This window comes from Homo sapiens, chromosome 9 (genome assembly GCF_000001405.40).
Source record: "Homo sapiens chromosome 9, GRCh38.p14 Primary Assembly".
Taxonomy (NCBI): Eukaryota; Metazoa; Chordata; class Mammalia; order Primates; family Hominidae; genus Homo; species Homo sapiens.
This window is the reverse complement of record NC_000009.12, coordinates 132104896-132122462: the sequence shown is the minus strand read 5'-3', so window position 1 is coordinate 132122462 and position 17567 is coordinate 132104896.

The following is a 17567-nucleotide window of genomic DNA, read 5'->3' as shown; positions in this document are numbered from 1 at the left end:
AGGTAATGCAGATGTCTCAAAGAGGGTTAAAGATACCAATGGAAAATAACAAAATAGGATTTGGCTCAGAGGGGAGAAAGGCAAATTCAATTGGGAGGAAAGTCTAAACCAGGATATTCCCTGGAGAGAAGAACAATGCAAAAATAATACTGAAAGAGGTTCAGGCAGAGAGCGATCTTAGCTGGAGGTGTGATGTGGTGAAAATGGCCAAGATTATGGAATACATTTGAAAAGGAGATATACGATCCAATGCTAGGATCCCTGCCCTGGCTCCTCACCCACCTCGAAAACTCCAGAGGCTCCATCTTGGGTCACGTAGGTCACTAGGGCCCAGAGCCTCTGCCTGGAAAAGTGTCCTTAAAGGGAATTTCCTTGGTGAGGTCATCCTGGCTCCTCGGAGGCTAGATGTCCAATTCCCAGAAACTTTATCCTTGGGGAGGGTACTGCGGGCCAGGAAAGGATGGTCCCTGGAAGGCCACTAGACTCAGGCCAGTCAGGCTGGCCCAATAAGCAGATGCTTTGCAGTTTTCTGGACCAGAGAAAGAGAAGTAACAGCTTCTGGAAAGATTTCCCAGGGCCTATGAGATGAGGGAGATTTGATGCTCTGCATGGTAGAAATTACCTTACCTTGCTTGGAGATGCCAATACCATTTCTGCTGAACAGAGATATGAAATCCATTTGCTCAAAAAAACGTTTTGTAAGCACCCACTACAGTGCCAGGCATCCAATCTGACAGGTGCCTGCCCTCTTGGAGTGTACATGCTAGGAACCATACTGGGCCTTGGTGGCCACCTGCCTCTCCAGGAACAGAAAGCAGGGTGGGAACATGATTAAATTCCTTTCTAGGAAGATATCCTCCAGACGATTGTACAAATCCAAAACACTGTACACAGAAAAAATAAACAAACAGGTCAGCAGGTGACAGGCAATGATTAAAGAACTTGGGAGAGGATCTAGAATGATGAAGATAAATAATAAGAACAAGAAAGTAACGTGTGGATCACCAGCATGTTCTAATACTCTGATGCTAGAACAATATTTTTAAATGATGGCTTCCAGGCTGGTGGCTGTTTGGAGTCTCAAGTCCATGATTCAGTGATAAGGACAACCAGCCATTGACTTCAAGTCAACTGGTTAACTTTGAGTTAGTGGACCTTTGGTGTTAGCAGACTGAGCTTTGAGTTCAAGCTTCAATATTCACTAGCTGTGTGACCTTGGGCAAGTCACTTAACCTCTCTGTGACTCAGTTTTCTCCTCCGCAAAATGGGAACACCAATAACACCTACCTCTTGGGAGCTGGTGTGAGGCTTAAATGAAATGATGCATTTAAAGCGTTTAGTGTTATGTCTGACCTTTGGTAAGGATTTAGTAAATGGTAACTCTTCTGACCTTATTACTATACACAAGACAATTGGCAACAAACTGGAATTTTCTGAATATCTTGGGGTAGAATCTTAGCTAGTTGTTAGTACTTCCTGTCTGGGGTGATGTCAACACTCCTATTCTCCCAGGTGTGTAATATTGGAGAGGCATAGACAATAATATTCTTTCTGTGTGCACTTTTTCCCTCCTGGCCTTCCCTTTGGTAAGGTCATTTTCCACACTCTTCCATTATTATTCACCAAACACTTATTGAGCACCTTCTCTGTGCCAGGTGCTGTGGATACAGAGATAAATAAGCCCCCTGTCTGCACTGGATGCTCCCAGTGCAGAGGAAACAACTCAATAAAATGTCCTGCCCTTTATTTCCTTAGGTCCCAGGCCAAGTGGCTTGGTTCCTAGAGGTAACACTTTCCCTTTTCTTTCCCTATCTGTGGAATTTGAACCTCTTGATGCTTTATTGCCACTTTCTTGACTTCTGATCTCAAGTGTTATTGAGAGAGAAGTGATGGATGTTGAGTTGGGAAGGCCTGGAGTTGAAACTCAGCTCTGCCTCTAGCTTGCTGTGTGACCCATGGAGAAGTTACTTAACCTTTCTGAGCCTCAGTGTTCTCAGCTGGGAACTGGGGGTGATAGTACCCACCTCCAAGGACTGCTGCAAGGACTGAATGAGATAAATCACCTGCCTTGGGAAGCCCATTTCCTGACCAGCAGAGAAGTGCTCAGTAAACAGTATTAAGTTGTGACCAAGCTAATAGCTCTTGGCAAATGACCTTGCCCGTGACAGTAATATGCATTCTTTTATCCAATAAAATCCAAGGATGAAAGCATGGGCTTGTGACCTTGTCAAGGTTATTTCCTCTCTGGGCCTCAGTTTTCCTACCTGGACAGTAAGAGGGTAAATTCTTAATAATCTCTAAGGTCCTTCCCATCTCCAAAAGTCTGGGTGTCCATGACTGGGGCAGAGCAGGGAACGGGAACCTTGTTTCCTGGTTCTATCCCTATTTTGATGTCTTTGAAGCATCAAAATAGGTATCAGGTGGAAAACGTAGACCAGAATTAAAAAGTGTAGAGTCATGGGGAGGAGGGGAGGAATGATTTAGCTGGGTCTGTGGAGGCATGATTGATGAAATTTAGGAATAGTCAGTGTAGACTAAATATCAAGGAAAAGCTCCCTGACACTGAGAGATTGGCCTTCTTGGAAATTCTTGGCATTTACAACCAGGATGACCAGCCATCCTGAAGTGGGGCTCAAATAGACCTTTGCTGGTTGGGGCTTGGGCTTCTATGGGACCCAAGGTGTTTAAAGCCCATGATGGCTTTCAGTGTGGGGAGCTTGGGGAGGGGTGCTTGGGAGCTCCCATTTCCACCAGCAAGTGGTAGGCATGGGTTAGAAGAGAGTTGAGACCTCAAACATGCACTGAAAGTCATTTGAGTAACTGGTATCAGCTGTGCTTCTAATGTACACCCTGCTGGGCCATATGAGTGCTCTCCTCTCCCCATAATTGCCCTGTGGGGCAGGAGTGACTGTCTGTATTCATCCATTCTCACACTGCTGTAAAAACATACCTGATACTGGGTAATTTATAAAGAAAACAGGTTTAATCAGCTCGTGGTTCTGCAAGCTGCACAGGCTTCTTCTTCTGGGGAGCCCTCAGGAAAGTTACAATCATGGCAAAAGGTGAAGGGGAAGCCAGCACATCTTCACATGGCCAGCAGGCGCAGGACAGAGAGAGACTGAAAGCGAGAAGCAAACACTTTTAAACAATCAGATTTCATGAGCACTATATCACAAGACAGCACTGGGGGGATGGTGCCAAACCATTAGAAACACCCCTGTGATCCAATCACCTCCAACCAGGCCCCACCTCCAACATTTGGAATTACAATTCAACATGAGATTTGGGTGGGGACACAGAGCCAAACCATATCACCATCTCAATGCTACAGATGAGAAGACCGAGGGCCAGGGAGTTTGGATGACTTGCCTGGAATCATACAATGAGCAAGAGGCTGAAGCAGGATTCAAACCCAGGTCTCTGACCCTGAAACCAAGAACTTTCCACTGCCTTAGAAGACATATCAACACTGTACAGAGCAAAGCAGGTGCCCCAACCTGAATCGTGTCTCAACAAATATTTATTACATGAACTAAGGAATAGCTCTTGTTGCCTTTACCTCAATATGCTTTCATTTTAATCCATTTTACAGGTGAGGAAACTGAGGTCTCTGGAGGATAAGTAGCAAGGTCACCAAATAAGCTAGTGGCAGAGTCAGGCCCAGAATTCTACTTTTTTATTTTCCAACCCATTGCTTTTCTTTTTTATTTTTTTTTCTTGAACCATACTCTACTGTCATTTTTTAAAATGGGGACTTGAGATCTGGTGAGAACCACTCCCTAATAGGCAGACAGTGTAGGATTTGAAGCTGGCTTTGAAAGAAAATAATCCAGGAAGTGGCCACCAGTGGGGATAAGATGGAAGGAAATGACTGCACGAAAGGCAGGTGGTTTAAGGGCAAGGTCTTTGACTCCTTAAAATTCAGCTGTGTCCTCTAAAATGAAGGATACCGATCACCACCACCCACCCTGACTTCAGCATCCTCCCTCCCCTGCTCCCAGGGTTGCTCTTCATAAGGTAGTGTGGAAAATGGCCAGTGCAGTGGGTGTAAATCGTAGCCCTGTTGTTATGAAGGGAAGATGGTGTCATTCTAGGGCTTAGTTGTCTCCCAAACTGGGGAGCTGTTGACAGATGGGGAGACTGAGGACCAGGGAGTTTGAATGACTTGACTGGGATCACATCTCCCCAACTGGGGAGCTGTTGACCCATACACTTTTAGGGAGGAGACACAAATTTCAAAGAAGGCTGGAACTCCAGCTCTGCATGTTTATTATAAGCCTCAGGACACAAATGACTCCCGACCATTTCGCTCCTAACACCTCAGGGACTTTGCATGATGACTAAACAGTAGGTTCCTCCCCAGACATTTAATGATCAGCCTTTTCTGGGACTCCTGGTCCAGTTCTTTCTCAGCAGTGCCCATCCAGACTCTCCTGTAGTGCAAAAAGCTAGAGGCAGGGTCCTCACCAAGCCCTGTCTCTTTGTCCAAGCCTCCCACCCCCAGCGCTTGCAGTGCCCCCTCATAGATGAAGCCAGGTATTTGCAAACAGCTTCAGCACACATGCACGCAATCAATATCACAAAAGATAAATCTGCTGCAATTGACTCCAGGCTGTACTGTCACTAAGTGACGATGAAAAATGATCAGCACTTGAATACATTGCATTTTTATCTTTAAATCTTTCTACAGAAGTGGTGTCAATATCAGAGTACTAAATAATCTCTAGATAGCAGGAAGATGCAAGAACATTTTTTTTTCTTCATGGAAGATGGATGTAGCTTTTTCGAAGGCCTTAAATACTGAAACAAGGAATTAGCTCTCTAAATGCCCTACAATGACTGGCTGCCTTGTCAGTCCTCTGAGGGCGATTTGAGTACCTAACTCCACTCTTCCATCAGTGTTCTTTAAATAACAGTGCTTGGCTCTGAGGACTAGGGACCTTTTCCAAGCCCTAATGAATCCATAAATCAAGGTTTACTGCATCTTCTTCCTCAGGCCAAGCTTAGTGAGTTGATGGGGGAAATCGAGGCAAGGGGAAGAGTCTTGTCTAACCAAAGTCACATAGGAACTCAATTTTCTACCAGAGTGGACACCTATCATCCTTCAGAAGGGGACAGGGCCAATTTCTCTTGGGGCTATAAGGTAAAAGTTACATAAGCAACCAGGTAACCGGTTACCATCATCAAATACTTGCTGGGCTCTATTAACCGTAAGACACTGATAGACATTAGAAATGTAGAGAAATCAGCCTTACTCTTTTGAGCTTTTAAGGCATGGGGGGAAGGATATTTGCTTAGCCACAATAACCACTATACATTGATCAGTAACAGCACCAGACACTGTGCCAAGAACCCTACATGCACCCTCTCGGCAGAGTGAGCCTCACAGTAGTCCTGCAAGGTGGATATCATTAACCCCGTTTTACCAAGGAGACAATATTGCCAGTGGCAGAGCCAGGGAAGGCAGAAGACCTGGGCTTGAGTCCCAGTTCTGTGTGTCCTGGGGCAAGCCAGAGCCATCTTTAGCCCCTCATAAGCAAAATGAGGGGAGTCAGACTCCATGATCTCCAAGGACCCCCAGCCTTTATCATCATTGGTTCTGTGAATATTCAAATAATGGGCGGACTGTGGCCCACACCCCCAGTGTTCACTGAATGTTGGCTGTGAGCCGGGGCAGGTGAGGACACGGAGGGCAGGTGCAGACAGAACACATCCCCACCCACAAGTCCACTGGTTTGCAGAGCTCTATTGAGCAATACATTTTTTTGCTTGACAAGTGAAGAGAGAGATTATAGGTACTGTATTTGTCCATTCTCATGCTGCTCAGAAAGACACACCTAAGACTGGGTAATTTATAAAGGAAAGAGGTTTAATTGACCCACAGTTCAGCATGGCTAGAGAGGTCTCAGGAAACTTACAATCATGGCGGAAGTGGAAGCAAACACGTCCTTCTTTACATGGCAGCAGGAAGGGGAACTGTAGAGCGAAGTGAGAGAAAGTCCCTTATAAAACCATTAGACCCCATGAGAACTCACTCACTATCAGGAGAACAGCATGGGAGCAACCACCCCCATGATTCAATTACCCCTCACTGGGTCCCTCCCACGACACGTGGGGATTACGGGGTCTACAGTTCAAAATGAGATTTGGGTGGAGACACAGCCAAACCATATCAGGTACCTATTTTTCCCATAAAGTTATTTCAAAAATAATGAGTTCTAGTGTGCCTGGCCCTGGGGGAGGGTGGAGAGGTTGATATGGAACACACTAAGAAGAAAACAAAGTTTCTGACTTGAAAAAATTTGCAATTCTGCTGGAGAAAAGTGATCAGTGCCCAATATAATATCCTATACAACTGAGTATGGGAACAGGGGCTGAGGAGGCCATGGGATAGGAGACAGACGCCTGGAGATGGAGCCCAGGGTCCTCTGGTCTATGGTCGGTCATTAGGGAGCTAGGGTAAGGCACTCCAACTTTGGAGCAGAAGTCCCTTTTACAATGCAGACCTAGTCAGAATCAGCATAGGACACATAAACACAGAAATTTGCTCTCTCTGAGAAGTAGCCTGTGGATGCCTTGCTGACTTGGGAAACACTCAAATCTAATCAAGGTGACCAGGGTATATCTGGTCACTGACTAAGAAAGTGGTAACCTAATTGATTTTGCTCTAACCTGTCTGGAGAGGAATTATTAACAGAAAAGTACTGGTCAGCATCAAGCATAAAAGATAGATAGACAGCAGGAACTGGTCAGTCTTTACTGAGTACTGGACTAGGGAGAGAAACGCTGTCTGAAGCAGCATTTTCCTACATCCCTTCTACAGCACAACATTCCCCTGAGATGCTCAGGGAAAAGGTTCCAGGAACAAATGCAGATGGGAAAGGTTGCACACCATGTCCTTTCTGTGAGAGCCAGTGTGAGGACTAGGACATTAAATCTACTGCAGTCCAGAGAAGTTCTGCAGAAAGGAGACACGCTGAACCTTGTTTAACCTGGCACTTCCCAAACTTATTTGGGAGTGGGGTAGGGTGAGGAATGTCTGTGAATATAAAACACAGTTTAGAAAATAATACTCTAAAGATTGAGACCAAAGGCAAGAACTGGCCTCACAGAAAAAGATGAGAAACAGCAGGAAACAATTTTGAGGAGATGAAATGCCTTAAATGCTAAACTAAGATATACAACTGATGTGGAAGATCCCCTCAGCATATTGCATTAGATGAAAAAAGCTAGGTGCGGAAGAGTGTGTAAAGCATGCATTCATTACCTTTAGCAAAAGGGGTACAAAAATATATTAAGACATATTATTTTTGAAAATATTTGCTTATATAGCTGCAAGACATCCCTGGACACATAAATATGAAATTAATAACATTTGCAGATGACTCCAGGGAAAAATAGAGGGGACAGATAGACTTATCACTGAATGCTTTCAAATTCTGAATCATGTAAAAATATTACCTATTAAAAAGTAAAAGAAAAATACCCTGCAGTATATTGATATCATTAAATGTGGATGAACTTAAAAAGCCGAGTGCGGTGGCTCGCGCCTGTAATCCCAGCACCTTGGGAGGCCGAGGTGGGTGGATCACGAGGTCAAGAGATCTAGACCATCCTGGCCAACATGGTGAAACCCCGTCTCTACTACAAATAAAAAAATTAGCTGGGCGTGGTGGCATGCGCCTGTGGTCCCAGCTGCTCAGGAGGCTGAGGCAGGAGAATGACTGGAACCCGGGAGGCAGAGGTTGCAGTGAGCCGAGGTCCTGCCACCGCACTCCAGCCTGGTGGCAGAGCGAGACTCCGTCTCAAAAAAAAAAAAGCAACTAAGAGTCATCATTCCTCTTTATATACTTCAGTGGCTTTCCACCTCTCTTGGGATAAAGTCCAGGCCTCCAGAGTCCCTGCCTAGTCTGTCTCACCCCTCTTCACGTTTCCATTTTCCACTGTAGCCATGGTGGCATTTTGGCAGCTCTTCAGACAAGTCTTCGTCTTTCCCTTTTCAGAGTTTGTACAGAAGCCTGGCATATTCTCTTCCCCGATGTTCATCTAGAAAACCCGCACTCATCCTTTAGGTCTCACAGTAGACATTCTGGCCTGCCTCATCAGCTGCTTCCCAGGTGCTGACCGCACTGCCCAGCCTCCTCCACCCGCCTGCGCTCTGCTGGGCGCTGTCCATGGTGCTGAGGGCACTGTGGCGGGCTGGGTTAAGTCGGCCCTCGTGGAGCTCGGATGCTGGGGTGATGGAAACTGAATATATGCGGGAAAGTAAATGCACATACAGTATTTCTTAATATTCCCCTTTTCTCTCATAGTCTCATTTGGATCATAAGTTACATCGTTACTTGAGTTATGAAAAAAATAAAGCACACCGAAATAAAAGGGTGTTGTCACTGCCCTGAGTGCCAAGCTTTTTTATGATCCTTGGGTTGAACGTGTGTAAAAAACAAACAAGCAGAAACAGAAAGACAAAGTAAACAAAAAAGAGTTGCCTTAAAACCCGCTAGAAAGCAAGAGAGCAGGGTCTTATCCCTCATGAAGGTCCCTTCTGCTTTGGGTAGCTTTTCATAGGAGACTTCTTTTGTCTGTAATCTTTCAACAGTCCTGGAAATACTGAACTGTAGTGAAGTTAAACCTTGATCCCGGCAAAGTGAAAGTGAGGTTTCCATTATATAATAAGTGAGTGGCTGGGCGCGGTGGCTCATGCCTGTAATCCCAGCACATTGGGAGGCCAAGGCGGGCAGATCACGAGGTCAGAAGTTTGAGACCAGCCTGGCCAGCATAGTGAAACCCCATCTCTACTAAAAAATACAAAAATTAGCGGGGCATGATGGCACGCACCTGTAGTCCCAGCTACTCAGGAGGCTGAGGCAGGAGAATCGCGTGAACCCAGGAGGTGGAGGTTGCAGTGAGTGGAGATTACACCACTGCACTCCAGCCTGGGTGACAGAGTGAGACTCCGTCAAAATAAATTAATAAATAAATAACCAAAACCAAAACCAAAACAAAAAGTACATGAGTGTCTTTCTAATCAACCTATTGCGGAGTGTTGCACTAGGAACAAGGACACAAAGATAAAGCTAGGGGCTAAAAGAGTGTGCTCCCTGGCACCCTTTATCCTCCATTCAAAGTGTCCTAGAGTGGAAGCAGTTTATTTATGAAGATGCTGTAAGGTTTTTGTTTGTTTATTTGTTTTTTTGTTTTTTGAGATGGAGTCTCACTCTGTCACCCAGACTGGAGTACAGTGGCAGGATCTTGGCTCACTGCAACCTCCGCCTCCCAGGTTCAAGCGATTCTCCTGCCTCAGCCTCCTGAGTAACTGGGATTACAGGCGCATGCTACCACACCTGGCTAATTTTTGTATTTTTTAGTAGACATAGGGTTTCACTGCATTGGCCAGGCTGATCTCGAATTCCTGACCTGAAGTAATCCACATGCTTCAGTCTCCCAAAGTGCTGGGATTATAGGCATGAGCCACTGCACCTGGCTGATGCTGTAAACTTTAAAAATTGACATTGTATGCCAGGTGCAGTGGCTCGTACCTGTAATCCCAGCACTTTGGGAGGTCGAGGCTGGAGGGTCACTTGAGACCAGGAGTTCAAGACTCACCTGGACAATACAGTGAGACCCCGTCTCTAAATATATATATACATACATAAAATTAAATTGTAGACCTGGACAAATGTCTTTCCACCGCCAGTCATTAATCCATTTGTCCTTGTTGATTGCTACTGACTGAATCCTGATCTGGTTACCTTGTTTAAAGTTTGGGGGCGTTACTTCCCCAGGATAGAAAACATGCATTTTGGAGAGTAAAAGTGGAAGATTCAGCCTTGATCAATGAAAATATTTTATTTGTGTAGCTGAAAGTCTTAATCAGAATTAGGATCCAATCCTCCAAGCATGTCATTATCAACCACGGTCTTTCAGGAGTGAGTGCCTCTTTGTAAATACATGCAGTTCCTGACGTGATGCCAGAGGAACATTTTGGGACAGTCTTTTCTCTTCCTCTCTGTACCCAGAATCTGAAATTGCCCAGCTCTATTTGAGACAGGAACTCAGATGCAGATTTCTAGGCTGTATTCTGTTATAGACGGCTGTCATTCTAACCCCCAACCACTACCTGCAGGAAACAAAATTAGGATGTTTGTATCAACCTGAGTGTTCCTAACCAATATCTTTAAAGATTTCATTTGTATTACCATTGGGATCATGTGTGGGGTTTCATTTTCTGGTTTTGGTTTAATTTTTTTTTGCTGCTCATGATTATTTATTAAACACAATATACAGTGCATGAGTTTTTGAAACTTTTGGGGGGAAGAAAACCCCTTTTTTAAAAAAGACAACTACTCAGGTCTCAAGATACATGAGGTGAAAGTAGAACTGTTTTAATTATAGGCTTGAGGCTCCACTCTCTGCTCATCCCTTCCTCATCCCTCCCTTCATCATAACATTTTGGAATCCAAATTTTACAGTCATGGAGGATTCCAGAAACCAGTCTAATAACTCCACTGTATAGATGGAGAAACTAGGCCTAGTGGGATTCAATGTCTTGCAGGCGGAACCTTTATGATACTTCTAAGGAACCTTGGTGCCTTGGAGAAGTCCGTTTGAAAACTACTGCTATGGAAGAATAGGTCTGCCTTGATGTGGGGAGATCTTACCTCTGCCCTTAACTCTTGGGCCTGGAACAAGTCATTGAGCCCCACTGGGCCCAGTTTCTCCATCTATACGGTGGAGTTATTAGACTGGTTTCTGGAATCTCCAATGACTGTAAAATCTGGATTCGAAAATTTTATGATTTTCATATTCTGAAAGTCTGTGGTTTAAGATTGTATTCGTTTGTTTCTATGCTGCCAATAACGACATACTCAAGTCTGGGTAATTTATAAAGAAAAAGAGGTTGAATGGGCCACAGGTACACGACACCACACCCGGCTAATCTTGTTTGCTTGTTTGTTTTGGTAGAGACGGTGGTGCGGGAGGGGTCTCACTTTGTTGCTCAGGCTGGTCTTGAACTACTGAGCTCAAGCGATCCACCTACCTCAGCCTCCCAAAGTGCCAGGATTACAAGTGTGAGCCACCGCGCCTGGCCTCAAAATACATTTGGATGGTGGAACAATCCGGACTTGATGACTGATTAGATGACATGCCACACATGATAAGACACCGCCAATGTAGAAAACAAAGAGCAAATTTTGATTCCAGCCTTAAAGGTCGTGAGGGTGATGTTCAGAATGCAGATGTTGGGCTGAAATTGGACTGCTTCTCACGTGGGCAACCTCAGGAAGCTTGCGTTGGGTAAAGAGCGGCAGGGATGTACTTATTTAACAATTGTCCAGGGCCCTTCTGAACCATGCAAGATAGACTGGCTGGTGTGGATGTAAATAGAAATTAATAGAATACATATAAAGAGTATACTTAACCAAAAGTGGAATTGTAAGCAATCTTCATTTTCTTTTTCATGAGCTTCTATATTTTATTTTTCTTTTCTTTTTATTCTTTCCTTCTTTGTCTCTATTTCTCTTTCCTTTCCTTTTTTTTTTTTTTTTTTTTTTTTCCAGACAACATCTTGCTGTGTTGCCCAGGCTGAAGTGCAGTGGCACAATCTCGGCTCACTGCAACCTCCGCCTCCCAGGTTCAAGTGATTCTCTGGCCTCAGCCTCCTGACTAGCTAGGATTACAGGCACCTACCATCATGCCCAGGTAATTTTTGTATTTTTAGTAGAGACAGGGTTTCACCATGTTGGGCAGGCTGGTCTTGAACTACTGACCTCATGATCTGCCTGCCTCAGCCTCCCAAAGTGCTCGATTACAGGCGTGAGCCACTGCGCCCATCTGGCCTTCCTTCCTTCCTTCCTTTCTCTCTCCTTCCTTCCTTCTTCCTTCCTTCTTCCTTCCTTCTTCCTTCCTTCCTTCTTTCCTTCCTCTCTCCTTCCTTCCTTCCTCCCTTCCTTCTTTCTTTCTTTCTTTCTTTCTTTCTTTCTTTCTTTCTTTCTTTCTTTCTTTCTTTCTTTCTTTCTTCCTTTCTTCTTTCTTTCCTTTTCTTCCTTTTTTGAGACAGGGCCTCACTCTGTTGCCAGGTTGGAGTGCAGTAGTGTGATTTTGGCTCACTGCAACCTTTGTCTCCTGGGCTCAAGTAATCCTCCTGTCTTAGCCTCCTGAGGAGCTGGGACTACGGGCATGCACCACCATGCCCAACTAATTTTTTAATTTTTTTGTAGAGATGGGCTTTTGCCATGTTGCCCAGGCTGGTCTCCAACTCCTGGGCTCAACCTATCCACCCACCTCAGCCTCCCAAGGGGCTGGGATTAAGGGCATGAGGCACTGCATCCAACTACTTTTATATTTTCTACGTTGTCTTTAATAGGTCAATAGAACTCTTATAATCAGGGGAAAATATCCCTTTAAGACAAAAAATAAATCCGTGTGATGGATTTAGGGAGATCCCATGTTTGTGTCTCTTGCCACCTTCGCTGTCTTTCTAACTCCTAGTCTCAGATCTTAACTGCACCTTTCAGTAATTTACCTACTCATCATCTGCCCTGTGACACCCCCTTGGCTATTCACCCCATCCTTCCTCTCAGCTCCCAACTGGGTCTGTGTTTCACTCAGCCCTGGGATGCACTGGACAGGCCATGGCTGTGACATCACAGGTTACATCTGCATGGAGCTAGGTGCATTCTGTTCAGGCAGTCACTGTGATCTGGCTGCCTGATTGATTCATTAGTCTAATGGCAACACATTGCTAGGATGCTAAGTTTTCTCTATTTCCCCAAAATGTTTTGAGGTTTTTCTCCTGACAACTGTGCTCATTGCAGTCATGGTGAAAACAACAAAATGGAAAGGAATTTCATAGGCCACACATCTCTAAATGATGTAGGGAAACATTTGGTTTCTTGTGGCTGTCAACACAATTATACCCACAGAGAAAGAAAATGAAAGGCAAGGCAGAGACAGCTCAATTTGGCTTGGAGAGTGGGGCGAAGACTTGGAAGCTTCATGCCTGGGCAGAGGGATGCCAAGACTTCTTGGGCTGCACAGAGGGCAGAGCGGCCACGAGATACAACAGTGGCAGCAGGTTGTAACACTGACGATGTGCAAATCCTTAGCCAAAGACCTGCCAACTCAACAAAGAGAGCTAAGCTAAGCCCCAGGGAAGGGACGAGGCAGCACGGGGCCTCCAAGGCTGAGCACCTGAAGAGAGCCACCCTCCTCTCCAGCACAGCTGACAATGGTTCCCTGGCCGCCCTTGCAGTTTTGTTTTTTTGTTCCTCTGTAGGGGCTCACAGGAAACAAGAGAACCAAACAACGTATGATTTTAGAAGAGGTAAAATTAAGTTTTCTGGAAGTTCCTTTGGACTATTGATTCCTAAATGGGAAGAAGGGATGCCCCCTTGGGGGAGTATTAGAGTCTTGGAGAGAGCTTTTCTCATCTACTTTCTATCCCCACCTCCCACACATTCTAATTTTGCTGCCTTAGGGAGAAGTGGGCCCCACTGCCAGCTACAGCTACTATTATTGGCGGAAGTGCATTAGTCATTCATTCAGCAACCAGTTAGTGAGCGTTAACCACGTGCAGGCACAGTCCTGGCCCTCAGGTGGACTGGGACGAGACAAAAACATTGGGAGCCCCTGTGGTCTAAACTCGGTGGCAAAGACCAGGTAAACGTTACAACTGAGGTTTTGTTTAACGAAGTTTTCTCTCTTTTTCTGATATTTGTTTTTTAAAAGGCAGAGGAAAAAATATGGAATTCCCACCATTGAATGAGAGCCTCCAACATGCCAGAAGCCATGCTGCTTACGTAATTCTAACAAGAATGTTAAGAGGTAGATGATCTCATGTGATTCTAACAAGAGTGTTTGGAAGTGGATATCCATTTCTCTGTCTCTTCCAGAGGAAAAAGCTAAGGCTCCGTAAAGGTCAATAACTTACTCAAGGTCAAGCAGTGAGTAAAAGACAGAAGCAGGATTGTAACACGGGGGTCTCTGATCCCAAAGCACGGGCAGCACCATCGCCATGCTTTGCACCTCCGGTGGACTGGCCACATCAACATTACTTGGCCGCTTGTTAGAAAGACACCTGCTGAATCATGATTTGCATGTTTAATAAGTATTGAGGTGATTCATTTACACATTCAAATTTGAGAAGCACTGAGCCAGGGAACTCATACCCCCAAACAATCTCACTCACAAACACAGGACATACCTTGGAAATCAAAAAGATTCATTACATGTCTCCATCCTGTCTTCAAGAGTGTTTCTGAAATGCTATAATACAGAAGATTCCCTCCCACCCAGAGTGAGAAAACACTGAAGTGGTAAAAATTTAAAAGGCCGGGTTGGGCTGGGCATGGTGGCTCATGCCTGTAATCCCAGCACTTTGGGAGGCTGAGGCAGGCGGATCACCTGAGGTCAGGAGTTCGAGACCAGCCTGGCCAACATGGTGAAACCCTGTCTCTACTAAAAATACGAAAATTAGCCAGGCGTGGTGGTGCACACCTGTAATCCCAGCTGCTCAGGAGGTTGAGGTAGGAGAATCGCTTGAACTCGGAAGGCAGAGGTTGCAGTGAGCTGAGACCACACAGCTGCACTCCAGCCTGGGCAACAAGACGGAAACTCTGTCTCAAAAAACAAAATTTAAAAAATTTAAAAAATTAAACGTCCAGGTTGCCTTCAGGGCATGCTGATGTGCCCTATAGTACCCTCGTGTGCTATTCAGGCTGCTTAGAGATTTGAGGGTCAGTGTGCGAGGGGAAGGGGAAATTTGTATTTACAAAATTGGTGGCTGAGGCTGAATGCTCAGTTCCACAGTGGAAGGAAGAGGGGGCCTGTTTTTAGGAAGGAAGTAGCAGCAGTTCTTTTTTTATTTTTCTCCTGAGACAAGGTCTCACTTTGTTGCCCAAGCTGAGTGCAATGGTGTGATCACAGCTCACTGCAGCCTCAACCTCCTGGACTCAAGTGGTCCTCCCACTTCAGGCTCCCAAGTAGCTAGGACTACAGGTGCACACCACCACACCTGGCTAATTTTTAATTTTTTTTTACAGACAGGGTCTCACTATGTTGCCCAGGCTCGTCTTGAGCTCCTGGATGCAAGCAATCCTCCCACTTCAGCCTCCCAAAGTGCTGGGATTACAGGCATGAGCCACCATGCCCAGCCCGCAATTTTAATATAATTGGTCAAACGTCCTTTTTCCCTTCCCTTCTCAGAGGTGCCAGTGCAGAGCTGCTGGCTTCGTGTGGGTCTAAAACCGCTCAGCTCAATTCTGGAGTTCAAAGACACCATTAATTAACTCAGAAATCATTGACACGAGGCTACTCCCAGGTTATGCTAATCTGGTGAAATCTGTAAACCCTATAACCTTACAGGAAGTCAGAGCTGCCACTGGCCCACTCAGCAGCACCTTTGTGCCAGTGAGCAAAAGGTGCTCCTCGCCCCCCCGCCCCCCAACCAGGTAGATGCAGCCCCAAACCATGTTGTTGGAATTGGTGCTGTGGTTCGAATGTGTCCGCTCCAAAATTCAGGTGTTGCTAGTGTGATAGAATTAAGAGAGATGGGGCCTTTAAGAGGTGATTAGGCCATGAGGGGTCCTCCCTTGTGAATGGGATTAAGGCTCTTACTAAAGAGGCTTCACACAGCCTTCAGCTCCCTTGCTCTTCCGCCTTTGCCATGTGAGGACACAGCGTTGCCCCCCACCCTGCCCGGAGGATGCAACAATAAGGTGCCATCTTAAACACAGAGACCAGCCCTCACCAGACAACGGAACCTGCAGGCTCCTAGAACCTCCCAGCCTCCAGAACGTCCAGAGAATGAATTTCTGTTATTTATGAGACACCCAGTCTCAGGTATCATAGTAGCGTTAATCAACTAAGACTTGGTGAATGGACTACAGAGTGGATTTTTGTCACCTGCGCATTTCCACACCCTCAAGGGCACCAATATCGCATGAGAAGCCCCTGTTGCAAGTGGGCCTGTGGCATTCCACCTTTTAAAAAGGTAAAGGGACCCTGAATAAATACATAAGTCATTTAAGGCTTGACAAACAGCTCTTGGAACAAGGGCATGAAAACAGGTGATTCTCAGGGTGATGTGTGGGGTTGAAGAGAGACCCACGGAATCAAGAAAGAAAGAGCCAGGCCAGGCTTGGTGGCTCATGCCTGTAACCCCAGCACTTTGGGAAACTGAGGCAGGCAGCTCACCTGAGAAAGGGAGTTCAAGACCACCCTGGTCAACATGGTGAAAACTAAAAAAAAAAAAAAATTAGCCAGGAGTGGTAGTGGGCACCTGTAATCCCAGCTACACAGGAGGCTCAGGCTGGAGAATAGCTTGAACCTGGGAGGTGGAGGTTGTAGGGAGCCGAGATTGCACCACTGCACTCTCAAGCCTGGGCGACAGAATGAGACTGCATCTCAAAAAAAAAAAAAAAAAAAAAAAGTAAGAACTAGAAGAATCGAGTCAGCTAAGGTCCTATTTTCCAAGGCTCTTCCCCATGTCTAAGAAAATTAATGAAAGACACACCTTTTTGCAAAAACCATAAACTATATGACTTGTGCATGACAAAAAGATGGAGTCCATCCTGCAAATATTTCAGAACTTCCTAGCTAGGTGGGGGTTTGGGGAGCAAAGAAGCTCACAGATGTGTGTTCTTGCCAAGCATATTGCACACAGGTGCTAGGGATGGCCAAGCCCTCAGGGGCTTGAGATACTTGGCCAGTGTTTCCCAAAATGTGTTCCATGGAACTATAATCCCATCCATTGCTTCTTAAAAACAGGTGCAACTGTCAAAAGATATAAACTTCTTTGGGATGTTTACAATGAACATTATTGAGCATTCTTGCCCATTTCCTTTGTTTAATTCAGCATTTTCCAAACATTTGACCCCAGACACACCCTGTCCCCACACCTGCTCTTTAACATGTTACCATCCACCAATGCTAGTTAGTTCCCTACGATGTGGATTTTGATTCTGTGGAGAATCTGGGGAATAAGCTTATTCCTTCTTGGGTTCAAATTAGAGACGTCCGCTGTTCACGGAGCTCCACACTGAATTTCCTTCTCCCTTTGAGAACGTTCATCACTTAAAGTCTACTCTTTCAGTGTTTTGATAGCACATCTCACATGTTTTTTTCCCTTGAAAGCCCAGTACAATTTGATGGTGACCGTCCTTTTTTTTTTTTTTTTTTTGAAACGGAGTCTCGCTCAGTCGCCCAGGCTGAAGTGCAATGGTGCGATCTCAGCTCACTGCAACCTCCGCCTCCCGGGTTCAAGTGATTCTACCGCCTCAGCCTCCTGAGTAGCTGGGATTACAGGCGCCCACCACCACGCCTGGCTCGTTTTTGTGTTTTTGTAGAGATGGGGTTTCACCATATTGGCCAGGCTGGTCCTCAACTCCTGACCTCAGGTGATCCTCCCACCTCGGCCTCCCAAAGTGCTGGGATTACAGGTGTGAGCCACTGCGCCCGGCCATATTTTAAAAGAGGATAGAGGACGCCATCTAGGGTCACCTGCCATTCTCTTGTTCTCAGGCTAGGAGTGACCCATGTTCTTTGAACTCTTCACCACTTTTCTT